The sequence below is a fragment of the Homo sapiens genome, chromosome 14 (genome assembly GCF_000001405.40).
Source record: "Homo sapiens chromosome 14, GRCh38.p14 Primary Assembly".
Taxonomy (NCBI): Eukaryota; Metazoa; Chordata; class Mammalia; order Primates; family Hominidae; genus Homo; species Homo sapiens.
Window position 1 is genome coordinate 81,850,699 of NC_000014.9, and position 15,222 is coordinate 81,865,920.

A 15,222-nucleotide genomic window follows, 5' to 3' on the forward strand; every position below is an offset into this window, starting at 1 on the left:
GTTTGTTACAGAGATTTGCAGGAGAAAAAATGTGGTTTGTTCTAGAATCTATGTGTTTCTTAGCACAAGCAACTCCATTTTGGTTTGGTTTGTTGGGGCCTAGTGCATGAGATTAGTCAAAAACTATGGCCTCCCGGAATTTTGTTTAAAAAATTCTCCATTTTTGGTCAGGTTTGGTCAGGTGAGAGTGTGACCAAAACTTAGGGCCCTAGTGCCACTCTCAGTTACCATCATTTTGGGTTTCTGGTCTCAGCACGTCATTTGTAGGTTCTGGTGTCCTCATGGTTGAACATTTCTTTCGGCTCCATTATTCCAGCTGAAGAGAGACCATTTGACATTCTAGAGATGGCTGCAGGCAAGCATTTAAAACCTTTGAGACAGCACACCAGGGAGATTATTATTATGACTATTGGGAAGATAATACCAAGAGTTCAGAGTATGCTCCTTACCCAAGGTCCTCCTAAACCAAACCTCCTAAAATCAAATAGATCAAAGAATGAGCTAGATAAAGAGTTTGCTCACTTTACTAAGCAGTCTCTTTGTTAATCTCCTACCAATGAATTTCTATAATCTTCATTTGGTGTATTTCTCCATAGGCCACAAGTGCCAGCAGCTACACAGATATTTCTCCGTTTAGCCAATTTTATCATAACTTTCACAAGAGAATTTAGAGTCTATTGTATAACTGTAGCCTTTACAGTAGAATTTGCTATAGAACCTATCATGAGGGATACATTTCTAATCATTGCTTCTTTTATTTTAAACCATGGAACTAGGACCTAACAAATGATGCCCCTTTAGAATAGTGAAGGCCTTCTAGCAATGTTTTCTTTAACCCACGATGTGGGTTAAGAGGGGTGAACCAATGTTTTGTTTTTGACTGATTATGAGGCCACATATATACCATTAAAGTTTCTTACCTACATTGGGCCTTCATCTTTTATTGATCAAAGTATAAGGTTATCCATGTATAAGGCTGGCTGCAAACTCCTTCACAAATAAAAGTACACCCCATTAGTGCACATAACAGGCCCTGTTTCCACATCTATTGTTCGTAGAGGCATAAGCAAGAAAAAAATATTCAAAGATAAGAGTTTAATGACAGTAGACGTCAATCTGTGGACTTGGCAAAAGCTGTTCACATCAAGGATGCCATCCTTTTCTTGGGAGAAATTTTCCTGCTTAGTTTTACCTCAAGGGTTCCAGTGGGTGCGCAGTTCTGAAAGTGTGGAGGGACCTTTCTCATTGTGAGATTATGAACCCAAAGTTCAAGGTCTTGAAGTTTTGTTGTAGTGTGCATGGCAAGGACAGTCTTCTTCTGATGTTTCCAGAAGATTCAAACCATGAAAAGCTTTCTTTACCTGGTGAAAATACACTGTAGCATTATTATTAATCTACTGTTATAACATCAGTCCTCTTGCATGGGATAGCTTTTATACAACCAGAAAACGTGCATTGAAAATAACAATAGAATGAAATCTCTTTATAAAATGTTTAAATGGCCCATCAGGTGACCAAATGTACCTGAAGCTTTAATTGTTTTCCCAGGAATATGGTATCAAGAATTGGTTATAAACCATTTTAAACAATTTGTAAGTCACTACACCAATGTATTCAACTTGGATCATTTTATCTTTTCCATGATGAGTCGTGGAATGCAGAACTCTTAATAATAAAATCTTTAAGGACTCAGGAAGAACAAGGCGGCCATCCTGGTTCTCCATGAGTCCATGCTTGATTAACATTAGACTTATATCCTCTTGGATACCAGTTGTTTTTCCAAATTAGGTGCATAGCACTGACAAGAACATTTGTTTACTTTTATGATGTACAATAACTTAACATAATAACCATAATTATAACTAATAACATATACTTAGACATTAGAATGTTAGAAATCCCATATAATCTTGGAACATATATTAGTATTACTCACAAAAATATAACCTAAAGAAGATTGAACATCATTTTGGCAATCCCATCTATCTAAACCAGTCAAATAATCCTGTTTACCTCTCTTCTGGACACTTCACGGGCCCTCTGAAGTATTTGAAAAGTCAGGTGCCAGGGAGGGCAATTTTGAAACTGAAGTTTGATTTTGGAATTCCAGATTACCATAGTTATTTATTTTGCCAAAATGGTGAGTTAGAAATTTTAAAGAAGCAAAAACCTTTTATAACCCTTTTGAATGTAGTCAACATGTTCTCATGGTGAACCTCTTCTACAAGATTAATTTCCACTATTTTTCCACCACTTCTTCAAGCCTTTAGCTTTTCCCATCTAACTTAAAACAATCCTTTAACCCTAGGCAAAATTTACATTTCCATACCTTCTTATAACCTTTTAAAAAACACATTTTACTGTTCTTACACACTTTGCATGTAAATCTATTTCCAGTAGTCTTAATTGCATGTCACAGTGGCGACTCTTAGCAATTTTAACTTTAATGTAAAACCTGGTAAGTTATGTTCTGATAAGGTTTGACTGTTTCCAGCATAGCTAGGGTGTGGCCAACTCCACACGTCCCCAGGGCATACCTGGAAAAGCAGGTAAGTGAAACAATTTTCAAAAGCCAAAGAAGTAGCTTATGACCTTAAAGCATTTAGCAAACCTAATATTTGAGCATAATTTAGACCACATGTTTACATTTTGAAGACAATTGTATTTCACCAATAATCTTTAAAACTGTCTTTATTTTCCAAGGATTACTCAAGTCACATGAACTAAATAAAAGGCATTATGTTTTTCACTTTTCAGAGAAAATATGTGATTTAAGATCTTATTATCACTAAACCAATTAATTTAAAACTTTACAGAGGAGCTATACAGTGACTTTTACTTTATATTTAACCAGTTTACATGAAGAGAAAGAGGCCAGAGACTGACTGGTAAGAAATTCTTACCCTTTTGCTGGCATGCCAGGTTTCTGGGTTCTCTCTTCCTTAGTGCCCTGGCGACCCTGCTTGACTGTATGCAAACAAACACATTGCCATGAATTAAGAATATTCACATATACTTCACAAATTTTGGAGAAATTAGGCAGAGAGAGAAATATTACTCAAATTCTATTTGTCTTCTTGTCTTCTTTTACTTTAATCAAAACTAAGAGCTTTAACTATGAAAATGTTAATTAGCCAAATGTTTCCAATTCTTTATCAGGTTTTAAAGAATATTTTATTATTTAAACTTTTTCCACATCTTGTCCCCTACTTAATGCTTCCTTACTACATTGTTTTATAAATAACCTTTTAAAATCTGAAATTTGAACTAACTTTTACATAACTTCTAAATTAGACAAAATTTTTGTTTTCTAATAACATAACCCCTTCTGGCATATTTTGTATACAGAATTATGTGTTAACTAAAATTTTTATCCTTAGTAACCTAAAACTTTAGTGAAACCCTAAAAAGCAAGAAATCCTGAGCTATTTGATATAGGCATTTATAGATAAGAAAAATTCTACAATTTTAGAAACATATTTCCCCATGTTACAACCCTTCTTAACTGGAAATAACCCAGATATTAAATGAGCATTAAAAATGACTTTAAAATTTTAATTTACACAAAAAGTCTACCTAAAACATTTATCTCATGCACTGTACTTAATTTTTACTTGTCACAAGGGAGACATTAATCAACATATGTAAAATGAACATTGATTTGGTCCAGAAAAGCGGAACAACTCCAGGCAGGAAGGGGGCTTGGGGGCTTTCAGACCACAGGTGGGAGACAAACTGTTGCATTCTTCTGAGTTTCTGATTAGTCTTTCCAAAGGAAGCAATCAGATATGCATTTATCTCAGTAAGACTTTGAATAGAATGGGAAGCAGACTCCCCCTAAGCAGCTCCCAGCCTGAATTAACACTGACATTTTAAAATATCTAGCAAAGACAAACATAAAATTCAGACAAAATTTATGCTGACAATTATGAAGGCATTTCTATTTTAATTTCACCAAAAATTTTAAAGCTAGCTTGTTTAGTAAAGTTATACTTAGGTTATGTGAACTTGAAAATCACTTAGACTTACTAATTTATGAGTGCTCTTTTACTTATAAGCCAGTTTGGTAGATACAATGTATAACAGTAAGTGTACATACAAATAAACACATCTAGACATGTATACACACACATAAACGAAGACCCAATAGCTGGAACCTTAGCCATGAGATAGCCATACAAGCTTGCTGGTTTTACTTTGCCCCAGTAGATAATCCAAGTGTTGGAAATAAATGCTCGGTGCCACCAAGTGAAAATAGCACTCAGGCAAAAGTTTTCTCAGCAAGGCAATTTACTTCTATAGAAGGGTGCATCTCATGGATGGAGCAATGGCAAGAGCACACCGGACAAGGGAGGGGAAGGGGGTTTTTATTCCTGATGCAGCTAGTTTCTACTTCTGTGTCTTTCCCCTACTGGCTAGGGTTGGACCACACAGCCTAAGCTAATTCCAATTGGCTATCATAAAGAGAGCAGGGTTATGAGCCACAGTGGCAGGGTGAGTAGTTTCACCAGGAAGGACAGTTACAAAGCAGGTGACTAAGGATGACTAAGGACAGAGCAGGTGAATAAGGGTGACTAAGGACTGAGCAGTAGATAGAGGGGGTTGTTTACTGAAACTAGGGGCAAGGAGACTTAAAGAACGAGGAAGTTAAACTTAAAAATGGAGAACAAAGAACAGGGAAGCTGAACATACTGACATATTGGTTCTTTGAAGAGGAACTCAGAACTCATTGTATTTAACAATTGTCCCCCTCTTGAATTTTAAAGGAAGTTAACAGGCTAAAACCTTTGAATAGGAATTTACTGTATCCTACACAAGGAAGGCTGTGAACCAAAATTTTGGGTAAAGCAGTCTCGGTGGCTTTGACTTTTAGAGGCTAAACTTCCCCAGACTCCAAAGAGCACTGGGGCCAAATAGTACCAAAGGAAGGCATCACACGTTAACCAGGCCCCCTGCTTATAACAGCAGCACAAAAGCCTGGATACATGCAACGCCATTCCACTTTCGCATTAGACAGTAAACTTCAGATTCTAAACAATTCTGGGGCCAAGCCAGCATTGCAACTGCGAGAGAAGATTCTAATGAGGGTTTAGTACTAGACCTCAGAACCTCTGCCAAGGGTAGCCCCTTTGAAGAGTTTGAGGTCCGCAGAACCCATGGAACATCCTCCTGTGGGGTCCAATCTTAGAATTCTAGATGTGTCTGGCCTTAAGTGCACACTCCACATGCAGGTTTCTCCTCCAAAACATACTATGAGATTTGTAAGAATAGCCATGAACTGTAACAAGAACTGGATGCCGGGTGGGCCTTTTTGTTCCTTAGCCAGTTGAGTACAATAAAGGAAGAATTTAGCATAAGGTAAGTTTTAAGTTCCCTGAAACCTGTGCGAATTTGCTCCCAGCTGTGAGCTCTGCTGCCACCGTAGGGATTAGGGACCATGCGTAGAAAAGATCCTTCACCCTTCGGGCCAGGGCAATTATTCCCATTCATTCCTAGGCCTTCAGGCAGCACTAGGGAGTGACCCCACCCAATTGCCCTTAATTTCCAAGGGACTACTAGGAAACAGCTGCTCAAAGACTGAAAAAGAAAGAGAGGAAAAGAAAATGAGAAAAGACCCAGATTCCTGAAGTGAACTGGTGGTGGCAGTCAGGCTTCTCCACATGGAAACCCCTTAGTTTCACTGGCCATGGCCAGAAACGTGCAGTTGCTTCCATGTTTAGGTCCTGCCCCGCAAGGGTTTGGAAAGGAAAAGAAGAGAGAGAGAGAGAAAGAGAGAGAGCCAGAGAGAGCGAGGGAGCGCCGCTGTATGGAGAAGAAAGGAAAGGGAGAAAAATGAATTCCAAACTTTGGGCTTACCATTTTCTCCTGGCTGGCTTGCCAAAATATGTTAATGGTGGAGGACGTCCAGGTTCTTTGCATCTTGAACAAAGAATTGAACAAAATGCACAAAGCAAGGAAGGAATGAAGGGGTTTAATTGAAAATGAAAGTACACTCCACAGTGTGGGAGTGGGCCTGAGCATAGGAGCTCAAAGGCCCTGTTACAGAATGTTTTGGAGTTTAAATACCCCATAGAGGATTCCATTGGTTACTTGGGGTACTCCCTATATAAATAGAGAGGATGCAGTAAAGTTACAAAGTCATTTATGGCATATGGCATATGGAGACGATATTTGCTGTTACAGCTGAAGTGTGAATTGGCATTATGTTCCCTGTCTCTAGACCCTATTTTCCTGCCTCAAGGTGAACTCAGAGTGAGAACTCACTTATCATCTTGAAGAGAGCACTAAGCCATTCCTGAGGGATCCACTCTCATAACTCAGACACCTCCAACTATGTCCCACCTCCAACATTGGAGGTCACATTTCAACCTGAAATTCAGATGGACAAACATCCAACTGAAGTTTGGTCATGGATAAGTTGTGTGACCCTGAGCAAGATACTCTCTTGGTGCTTCAATGTGCTTATCTCTAAAGTGGGGGCAACCATTTCTCTTTCAGAGGAAGGTTTTAAGAGTAAAATTAAGTATGACAAAAGGAGATGCCTAGCATGACACTCTAAATAACTAGACACTGTACTTGCCTAATGATTATCCGGAATCTTTCAAATCTTCACTTCCCTGTTTAGACACTGGTTACTTGGGGAAGCATTCAGAAAAAATTGGAATACACTTCACTAATTCTTCAAAGATGATAGCCCCATTTTTAGAAAGTTTTGGCAATTAGAGCCCTACAACATCATCTCATTTGTTCTTCACAATACTATAAGGTGGACAGGGAATTCCACAAAGGGAGATTCAACAGAGGGGACAGGAGTTGGCTTCTTGAGGGACAGTGGGGCTATCAAGAGAGACACAGGCCTTGCTCACCTTAGCCTCAAGGGTATTTGGCTAACAGCTTGTCTCATTTACTCTGTGAGTGCTGCATATCTGAGAACTACACTATCATCAAAGCAACACAAGGGCTAGGGTTTTAGCTTTCCATATGCTGAAGAGCCCCAAAGACTGGGACACAAAGGATAATTGTTTTGGTAGATACATATTTTATTCCATAGACAGCCTTTTAAAACTCCTGTGAGGCTGGGCCTGGTGGCTCACACCCGTAATCTCAGCACTTTGGGAGGCTGAGGCGGGCAGATCACCTGAGGTCGGGAGTTTGAGACAAGCCTGACCAACATGGAGAAATCCTGTCTCTACTAAAAATGCAAAATTAGCCAGGTGTGGTGGAGCATGCCTGTAATCCCAGCTACTCAGGAGGCTGAGACAGGAGAATTGCTTGAATCCGGGAGGCGGAGGTTGCGGTGAGCCAAGATCACGTCATTGCACTCCATCCTGGGCAACAAGAGTGAAACTCCTTCTCAAAAAAATCAAAACAAAACAAAACAGAACAAAAACTCCTGTGATTATGTGAAGTTTTACTTGGAAGGCATTGCACAACTTCAAAAAATACATTGTATAGCCTAGGCAGACCATATTAGGAAAATGGCTTCCAGAAAAACAGCATATATATAACTGGGCTCATGTCATTCCCTTTGGGCTGGGGGTGTTGAATGGGAGTGACCGGGAGAAGTACACATATAAATAGGTGTTTTCACTTGTGTGAAGACCAGAAGGCAATTTGACAAAACAAAGAGAGCAGCATATACCTGCTAGGATGTGATTTCAGGCCTGGCATTGTCCTTGGAGATTTTCTTGTTCTTCCATACTGTTTAGTTCATTTTCTGCCCAGGGCACACCTTGACAAGCCATTTGTTCATAGAAAACATCTACAGAGCTAACCTTCAACAATTACAATGGACATCCATTCTCTAGAGGAAATACATGCAGAATATTGCTATGCTCATTAAAGAGCAAATGTTCCGTTCTGAGAGGGCAAGAATCAGTTTCTCCTTTTGCTCTCGGCACACAGACTCATCACCACCACCTACCCCCATACTGCCTGTTGCTTCTAGGGGGCCATGCAGAGTTATTTACTTTATTACATTATTTATATTTTCAGATTATTCCTGGGATTAATTGTTATGGAAGCCCAGATTTAATTAGTGTAAACTTCAGTTACAGCTTAATATAAATTGAATTACAAGCCATTTCTCTTTGAGAAATATTAGGATTTATTAGCAGTCCCCCCAAAACTAATTAGTTTGAACGAATACATTTCAGCATTAATGGATGAGGGAAGCTTTGTTTGCTATTGTTTGTAATTATATTAGCGTATTACATCCTTCCCCTCTCCCCTCTGTGTGTCTACTTTGATGATTAGCCTGGATGGGAGAAGCCTTGTCTGTTCACCCAAGGCCTTAGGAAAGCAATAATGGTCACGGAGAGAGAAATTGGCTCCACTGAGATAAAATGGAGGGGAGGGAGAAAAAGCCTGAGTATAAGAAAATGGTCAGATCACAGCTCATGATTTAAATTAAAAAAAAAAAAAAGCCGAAGCCAAAAGATGTGTGAAATGAGCATTTTAAATCCAAGAAGTATGAAATGACTCTCTCATAAATCTCTAAATGGGTAAAAGAAACTGTAGTTAAGCATTCCTGCTTGTGGGCCAGGAAAAAGACAGTGCATGCTTCGTGCTGTTGCCAAATTAATCTTCCAAAAAAATAGCTTGATTATGTAATTCTCCTGCTCAGGAACAAACAGTTAAGGGAATGGGCCTTGGAGTCAAGCAAGTTTGTTTGAGTCTATATTCTTCTATTTGTCCATTTGACCTTGGGCAACTCACTAACCTCTTGTTACTTTGGTTCTTTCATGTATAAAAAAAGAGAATGATAGAACCTACCTCACAGGGTTATTATGAAGATTACATGGGCTGGGCACAGTGGCTCATGCCTGTAATCCCAGTACTTTGGGAGGCTGAGGCAGGCAGATCACCTGAGGTCAGGTGTTTGAGACCAGCCTGGCCAGTGTGGTGAAAACCTGTCTCTACTAAAAATACAAAAATTAGCTGGGCTTGGTGGCAGGTGCCTGTAATCCCAGCTACTTGGGAAGCTGAGGCAGGAGAATTGGTTGAACCCTGGAGGCAGAGGCTGCAGTGAGCTGAGATAGTGCCACTGCACTCCAGTCTGGGCAACAGAGCCAGGCTCTGTCTCAAAAAAAAAAAAAAAAAAAAGGGGAGGAGCCAAGATGGCCGAATAGGAGCAGCTCCAGTCTACAACTCCCAGCTTGTGCGACGCAGAAGACGGGTGATTTCTGCATTTCTATCTGAGGTACCGGGTTCATCTTACTAGGGAGTGCTAGACAGTGGGCGCAGGTCAGTGGGTGCGCACACCGTGCGCGAGCCGAAGCAGGGTGAGGCATTGCCTCACTTGGGAAGCGCAAGGGGTCAGGGAGTTCCCTTTCCTAGTCAAAGAAAGGGGTGACGGACGGCACCTGGAAAATCGGGTCACTCCCACCCGAATACTGCGCTATTCCGACGGGCTTAAAAAATGGCGCACCACGAGATTATATCCCGCACCTGGCTGGGAAGATGAAATGAATGAAATGAAGCAAGAAGGGAAGTTTAGAGAAAAAAGAATAAAAAGAAATGAGCAAAGCCTCCAAGAAATATGGGACTATGTGAAAAGACCAAATCTACGTCTGATTGGTGTACCTGAAAGTGACCAGGAGAATGGAACCAAGTTGGACAACACTCTGCAGGATATTATCCAGGAGAACTTCCCCAATCTAGCAAGGCAGGCCAACGTTCAGATTCAGGAAATACAGAGAACACCACAAAGATACTCCTCGAGAAGAGCAACTCCAAGACACATAATTGTCAGATTCACCAAAGTTGAAATGAAGGAAAAAATGTGAAGGGCAGCCAGAGAGAAAGGTCGGGTTACCCTCAAAGGGAAGCCCATCAGACTAACAGCGGATCTCTCGGCAGAAACCCTACAAGCCAGAAGAGAGTGGGGGCCAATATTCAACGTTCTTAAAGAAAAGAATTTTCAACCCAGAATTTCATATCCAGCCAAACTAAGCTTCTTAAGTGAAGGAGAAATAAAATACTTTACAGACAAGCAAATGCTGAGAGATTTTGTCACCACCAGGCCTGCCCTAAAAGAGCTCCTGAAGGAAGCGCTAAACATGGAAAGGAACAAGCGGTACCAGCCGCTGCAAAATCATGCCAAAATGTAAAGACCATCGAGACTAGGAAGAAACTGCATCAACTAACGAGCAAAATCACCAGCTAACATCATAATGACAGGATAAAATTCACACATAACAATATTAACTTTAAATGTAAATGGACTAAATGCTCCAATTAAAAGACACAGACTGGCAAATTGGATAAAGAGTCAAGACCCATCAGCGTGCTGTATTCAGGAAACCCATCTCAAGTGCAGAGACACACATAGGCTCAAAATAAAAGGATGGAGGAAGATCTACCAAGCAAATGGAAAACAAAAAAGGCGGGGGTTGCAATCCTAGTCTCTGATAAAACAGACTTTAAACCAACAAAGATCAAAAGAGACAAAGAAAGCCATTACATAGTGGTAAAGGGATCAATTCAACAAGAAGAGCTAACTATCCTAAATATATATGCACCCAATACAGGAGCACCCAGATTCATAAAGCAAGTCCTGAGTGACCTACAAAGAGACTTAGACTCCCACACATTAATAATGGGAGACTTTAACACCCCACTGTCAACATTAGACAGATCAACAAGACAGAAAGTCAACAAGGATACCCAGGAATTGAACTCAGCTCTGCACCAAGCAGACCTAATAGACATCTACAGAACTCTCCACCCCAAATCAACAGAATATACATTTTTTTCAGCACCACACCACACCTATTCCAAAATTGACCACATACTTGGAAGTAAAGCTCTCCTCAGCAAATGTAAAAGAACAGAAATTATAACAAACTATCTCTCAGACCACAGTGCAATCAAACTAGAACTCAGGATTAAGAATCTCACTCAAAACCGCTCAACTACATGGAAACTGAACAACCTGCTCCTGAATGACTACTGGGTACATAACGAAATGAAGGCAGAAATAAAGATGTTCTTTGAAACCAACGAGAACAAAGACACAACATTCCAGAATCTCTGGGACACATTCAAAGCAGTGTGTAGAGGGAAATTTATAGCACTAAATGCCCACAAGAGAAAGCAGGAAAGATCCAAAATTGACAACCTAACATCACAATTAAAAGAACTAGAAAAGCAAGAGCAAACACATTCAAAAGCTAGCAGAAGGCAAGAAATGACTAAAATCAGAGCAGAACTGAAGGAAATAGAGACACAAAAAACCCTTCCAAAAATTAATGAATCCAGGAGCTGGTTTTTTGAAAGGATCAACAAAATAGATAGACTGCTAGCAAGACTAATAAAGAAAAAAAGAGAGAAGAATCAAATAGGCACAGTAAAAAATGATAAAGGGGATATCACCACTGATCCCACAGAAATACAAACTACCATCAGAGAATACTACAAACACCTCTACGCAAATAAACTAGAAAATCTAGAAGAAATGGATAAATTCCTCGACACATACACTCTCCCAAGACTAAACCAGGAAGAAGTTGAATCTCTGAATAGACCAATAACAGGATCTGAAATTGTGGCAATAATCAATAGCTTACCAACCAAAAAGAGTCCAGGACCAGATGGATTCACAGCCGAATTCTACCAGAGGTACAAGGAGGAACTGGTACCATTCCTTCTGAAACTATTCCAATCAACAGAAAAAGAGGAAATCCTCCCTAACTCATTTTATGAGGCCAGCATCATTCTGATACCAAAGCCTGGCAGAGACACAACCAAAAAAGAGAATTTTAGACCAATATCCTTGATGAACATTGATGCAAAAATCCTCAATAAAATACTGGCAAACAGAATCCAGCAGCACATCAAAAAGCTTATCCACCACGATCAAGTGGGCTTCATCCCTGGGATGCAAGGCTGGTTCAATATACGCAAATCAATAAATGTAATCCAGCATATAAACAGAGCCAAAGACAAAAACCACATGATTATCTCAATAGATGCAGAAAAGGCCTTTGACAAAATTCAACAACCCTTCATGCTAAAAACTCTCAATAAATTAGGTATTGATGGGACGTATTTCAAAATAATAAGAGCTATCTATGACAAACCCACAGGCAATATCATACTGAATGGGCAAAAACTGGAAGCATTCCCTTTGTAAAGTGGCACAAGACAGGGATGCCCTCTCTCACCACTCCTATTCAACATAGTGTTGGAAGTTCTGGCCAGGGCAATTAGGCAGGAGAAGGAAATAAAGGGTATTCAATTAGGAAAAGAGGAAGTCAAATTGTCCCTGTTTGCAGATGACATGATTGTATATCTAGAAAACCCCATCGTCTCAGCCCAAAATCTCCTTCAGCTGATAAGCAACTTCAGCAAAGTCTCAGGATACAAAATCAATGTGCAAAAATCACAAGCATTCTTATACACCAACAACAGACAAACAGAGAGCCAAATCATGAGTGAACTCCCATTCACAATTGCTTCAAAGAGAATAAAATACCTAGGAATCCAACTTACAAGGGATGTGAAGGACCTCTTCAAGGAGAACTACAAACCACTGCTCAATGAAATAAAAGAGGATACAAACAAATGGAAGAACATTCCATGCTCATGGGTAGGAAGAATCAATATCGTGAAAATGGCCATACTGCCCAAGGTAATTTACAGATTCAATGCCATCCCCATCAAGCTACCAATGACTTTCTTCACAGAATTGGAAAAAACTACTTTAAAGTTCATATGGAACCAAAAAAGAGCCCGCATTGCCAAGTCAATCCTAAGCCAAAAGAACAAAGCTGGAGGCATCACCCTACCTGACTTCAAACTATACTACAAGGCTACAGTAAGCAAAACAGCATGGTACTTGTGCCAAAACAGAGATATAGGTCAATGGAACAGAACAGAGCCCTCAGAAATAACGCCGCATATCTACAACTATCTGATCTTTGACAAACCTGAGAAAAACAAGCAATGGGGAAAGGATTCCCTATTTAATAAATAGTGCTGGGAAAACTGGCTAGCCATATGTAGAAAGCTGAAACTGGATCCCTTCCTTACACCTTATACAAAAATCAATTCAAGATGGATTAAAGACTTAAATGTTAGACCTAAAACCATAAAAACCCTAGAAGAAAACCTAGGCACTACCATTCAGGACATAGGCATGGGCAAGGACTTCATGTCTAAAACACCAAAAGCAATGGCAACAAAAGCCAAAATTGACAAATGGGATCTAATTAAACTAAAGAGCTTCTGCACAGCAAAAGAAACTACCATCAGAGTGAACAGGCAACCTACAAAATGGGAGAAAATTTTCGCAACCTACTCATCTGACAAAGGGCTAATATCCAGAATCTACAATGAACTCAAACAAATTTACAAGAAAAAAACAAACAACCCCATCAAAAAGTGGGCGAAGGACATGAACAGACACTTCTCAAAAGAAGACATTTATGCAGCCAAAAAACACATGAAAAAATGCTCATCATCACTGGCCATCAGAGAAATGCAAATCAAAAGCACAGTGAGATACCATCTCACACCAATTAGAATGGCAATCATTAAAAAGTCAGGAAACAACAGGTGCTGGAGAGGATGTGGAGAAATAGGAAGACTTTTACACTGTTGGTGGGACTGTAAACTAGTTCAACCATTGTGGAAGTCAGTGTGGCGATTCCTCAGGGATCTAGAACTAGAAATACCATTTGATCCAGCCATCCCATTACTGGGTATATACCCAAAGGACTATAAATCATGCTGCTATAAAGACACATGCACACGTATGTTTATTGCGGCACTATTCACAATAGCAAAGACTTGGAACCAACCCAAATGTCCAACAATGATAGACTGGATTAAGAAAATGTGGCACATATACACCATGGAATACTATGCAGCCATAAAAATGATAAGTTCATGTCCTTTGTAGGGACATGGATGAAATTGGAAATCATCATTCTCAGTAAACTATCGCAAGAACAAAAAACCAAACACCGCATATTCTCACTCATAGGTGGGAATTGAACAATGAGATCACATGGACACAGGAAGGGGAACATCACACTCTGGGGACTGTTGTGGGGTTGGGGGAGGGGGGAAGGATAGCATTGGGAGATATACCTAATGCTAGATGATGAGTTAGTGGGTGCAGCGCACCAGCATGGCACATGTATACATATGTAACTAACCTGCACAATGTGCACATGTACCCTAAAACTTAAAGTATAATAATAAAAGAAAAAAAAAAAGAAAAAAGAAAAACATACTGAACAAATGAATTTGATGAACAGACACTTCTCAAATTCATTTGTTAAATATGTTTTTCTTAAATCCTCACCATGTGGCACAAGAAATGCAATATACAATGACTCCTAATGAACCAAAATTGTTCTTGTTCTCTATTCTATAACCTCTCAAAATTCTGTAACCATGTCCAGAAATAAAAACTTGAAGAATCTGTCAAAAAAAAAAAAAAGATTATGTGAAATGATGTAGCACATTAGGCACAGGGATATATAATAAAATCGGTTTGTTGTTGGTAATAGATAAGGTCCAGTTCCCTTGGCATAGTATTTGAGGTCTTTCATCATCTCTCTTCCACCTATCTTTAAGCATAATGCCCTGCCGGTCCATTCTAGGATGCTTACCCTCCGATTAAACTAGTGTCTTGGATTACAGTTTGCTGTGTCTTAATTCCTCTATTATATGGTAGATGCCGTAGACGCTGTGTGAGTTGGAGAGTAGGTCTTTCTCAGCTTCTGAGCCCCCAATGGCCAGGAGAGTCCCTAAAAAATGCAGAGGTATCACTGCTTATAAAAAGATTAGGTTTGCAAGGTCTGTAAATTTGCATCCATGTGTTTGTAAATCCACAGTGTTTTAGGAAGGGTTTAAGTTTGCAAGTAGGCCTTGAGTTTTCCTGTATTTAAAATGAAAGAGTTAGATGATATGGTTAATCAATAGGGCTCTCTCCACTTAAAAATGTTGTGATTTTACTTAATCTGTTTTAACTTTATTGTTGTCATGTTTTCATGATACCAAACATCACCAACAAGAAGCTTAAAAGATTAGAGAAAAACATGATATTTTTCAATACCCAAATGTTTCTCATTAGATGGATAACGTATCTTTTTTTTCCAACATATTTTTCTGATTTCACTAGGATGCCTGAAACTATTCTTTATTGTGAATTTGGTAGGAGAAAGCCAGCCAAAGTGAAGCAGATGTTTGGAGGGTTTCGAAGATGTA

The 15,222-nt window shown here is 39.5% G+C and overlaps 1 long non-coding RNA gene across 1 annotated transcript in view, besides 1 other annotated feature; it reads left to right on the plus strand.

Annotated features, from left to right (window-relative positions):
* The window catches only part of LOC107984704 (uncharacterized), a 336,950-nt gene that overhangs the window by 113,502 nt on the left and 208,226 nt on the right, over positions 1–15,222 (plus strand). The window lies entirely within an intron of this gene.
* Positions 4,338–5,537: an enhancer, noted in NCBI's record as "CDK7 strongly-dependent group 2 enhancer chr14:82321380-82322579 (GRCh37/hg19 assembly coordinates)". NCBI's record gives its function as "activates an origin of replication core promoter dependent on BRD2, BRD4, P300/CBP, MED14 and CDK7 cofactors, with strong dependence on CDK7, by STARR-seq in HCT116 cells {active_cell/tissue: HCT116}" and the evidence as "EXISTENCE:reporter gene assay evidence [ECO:0000049][PMID:35650434]".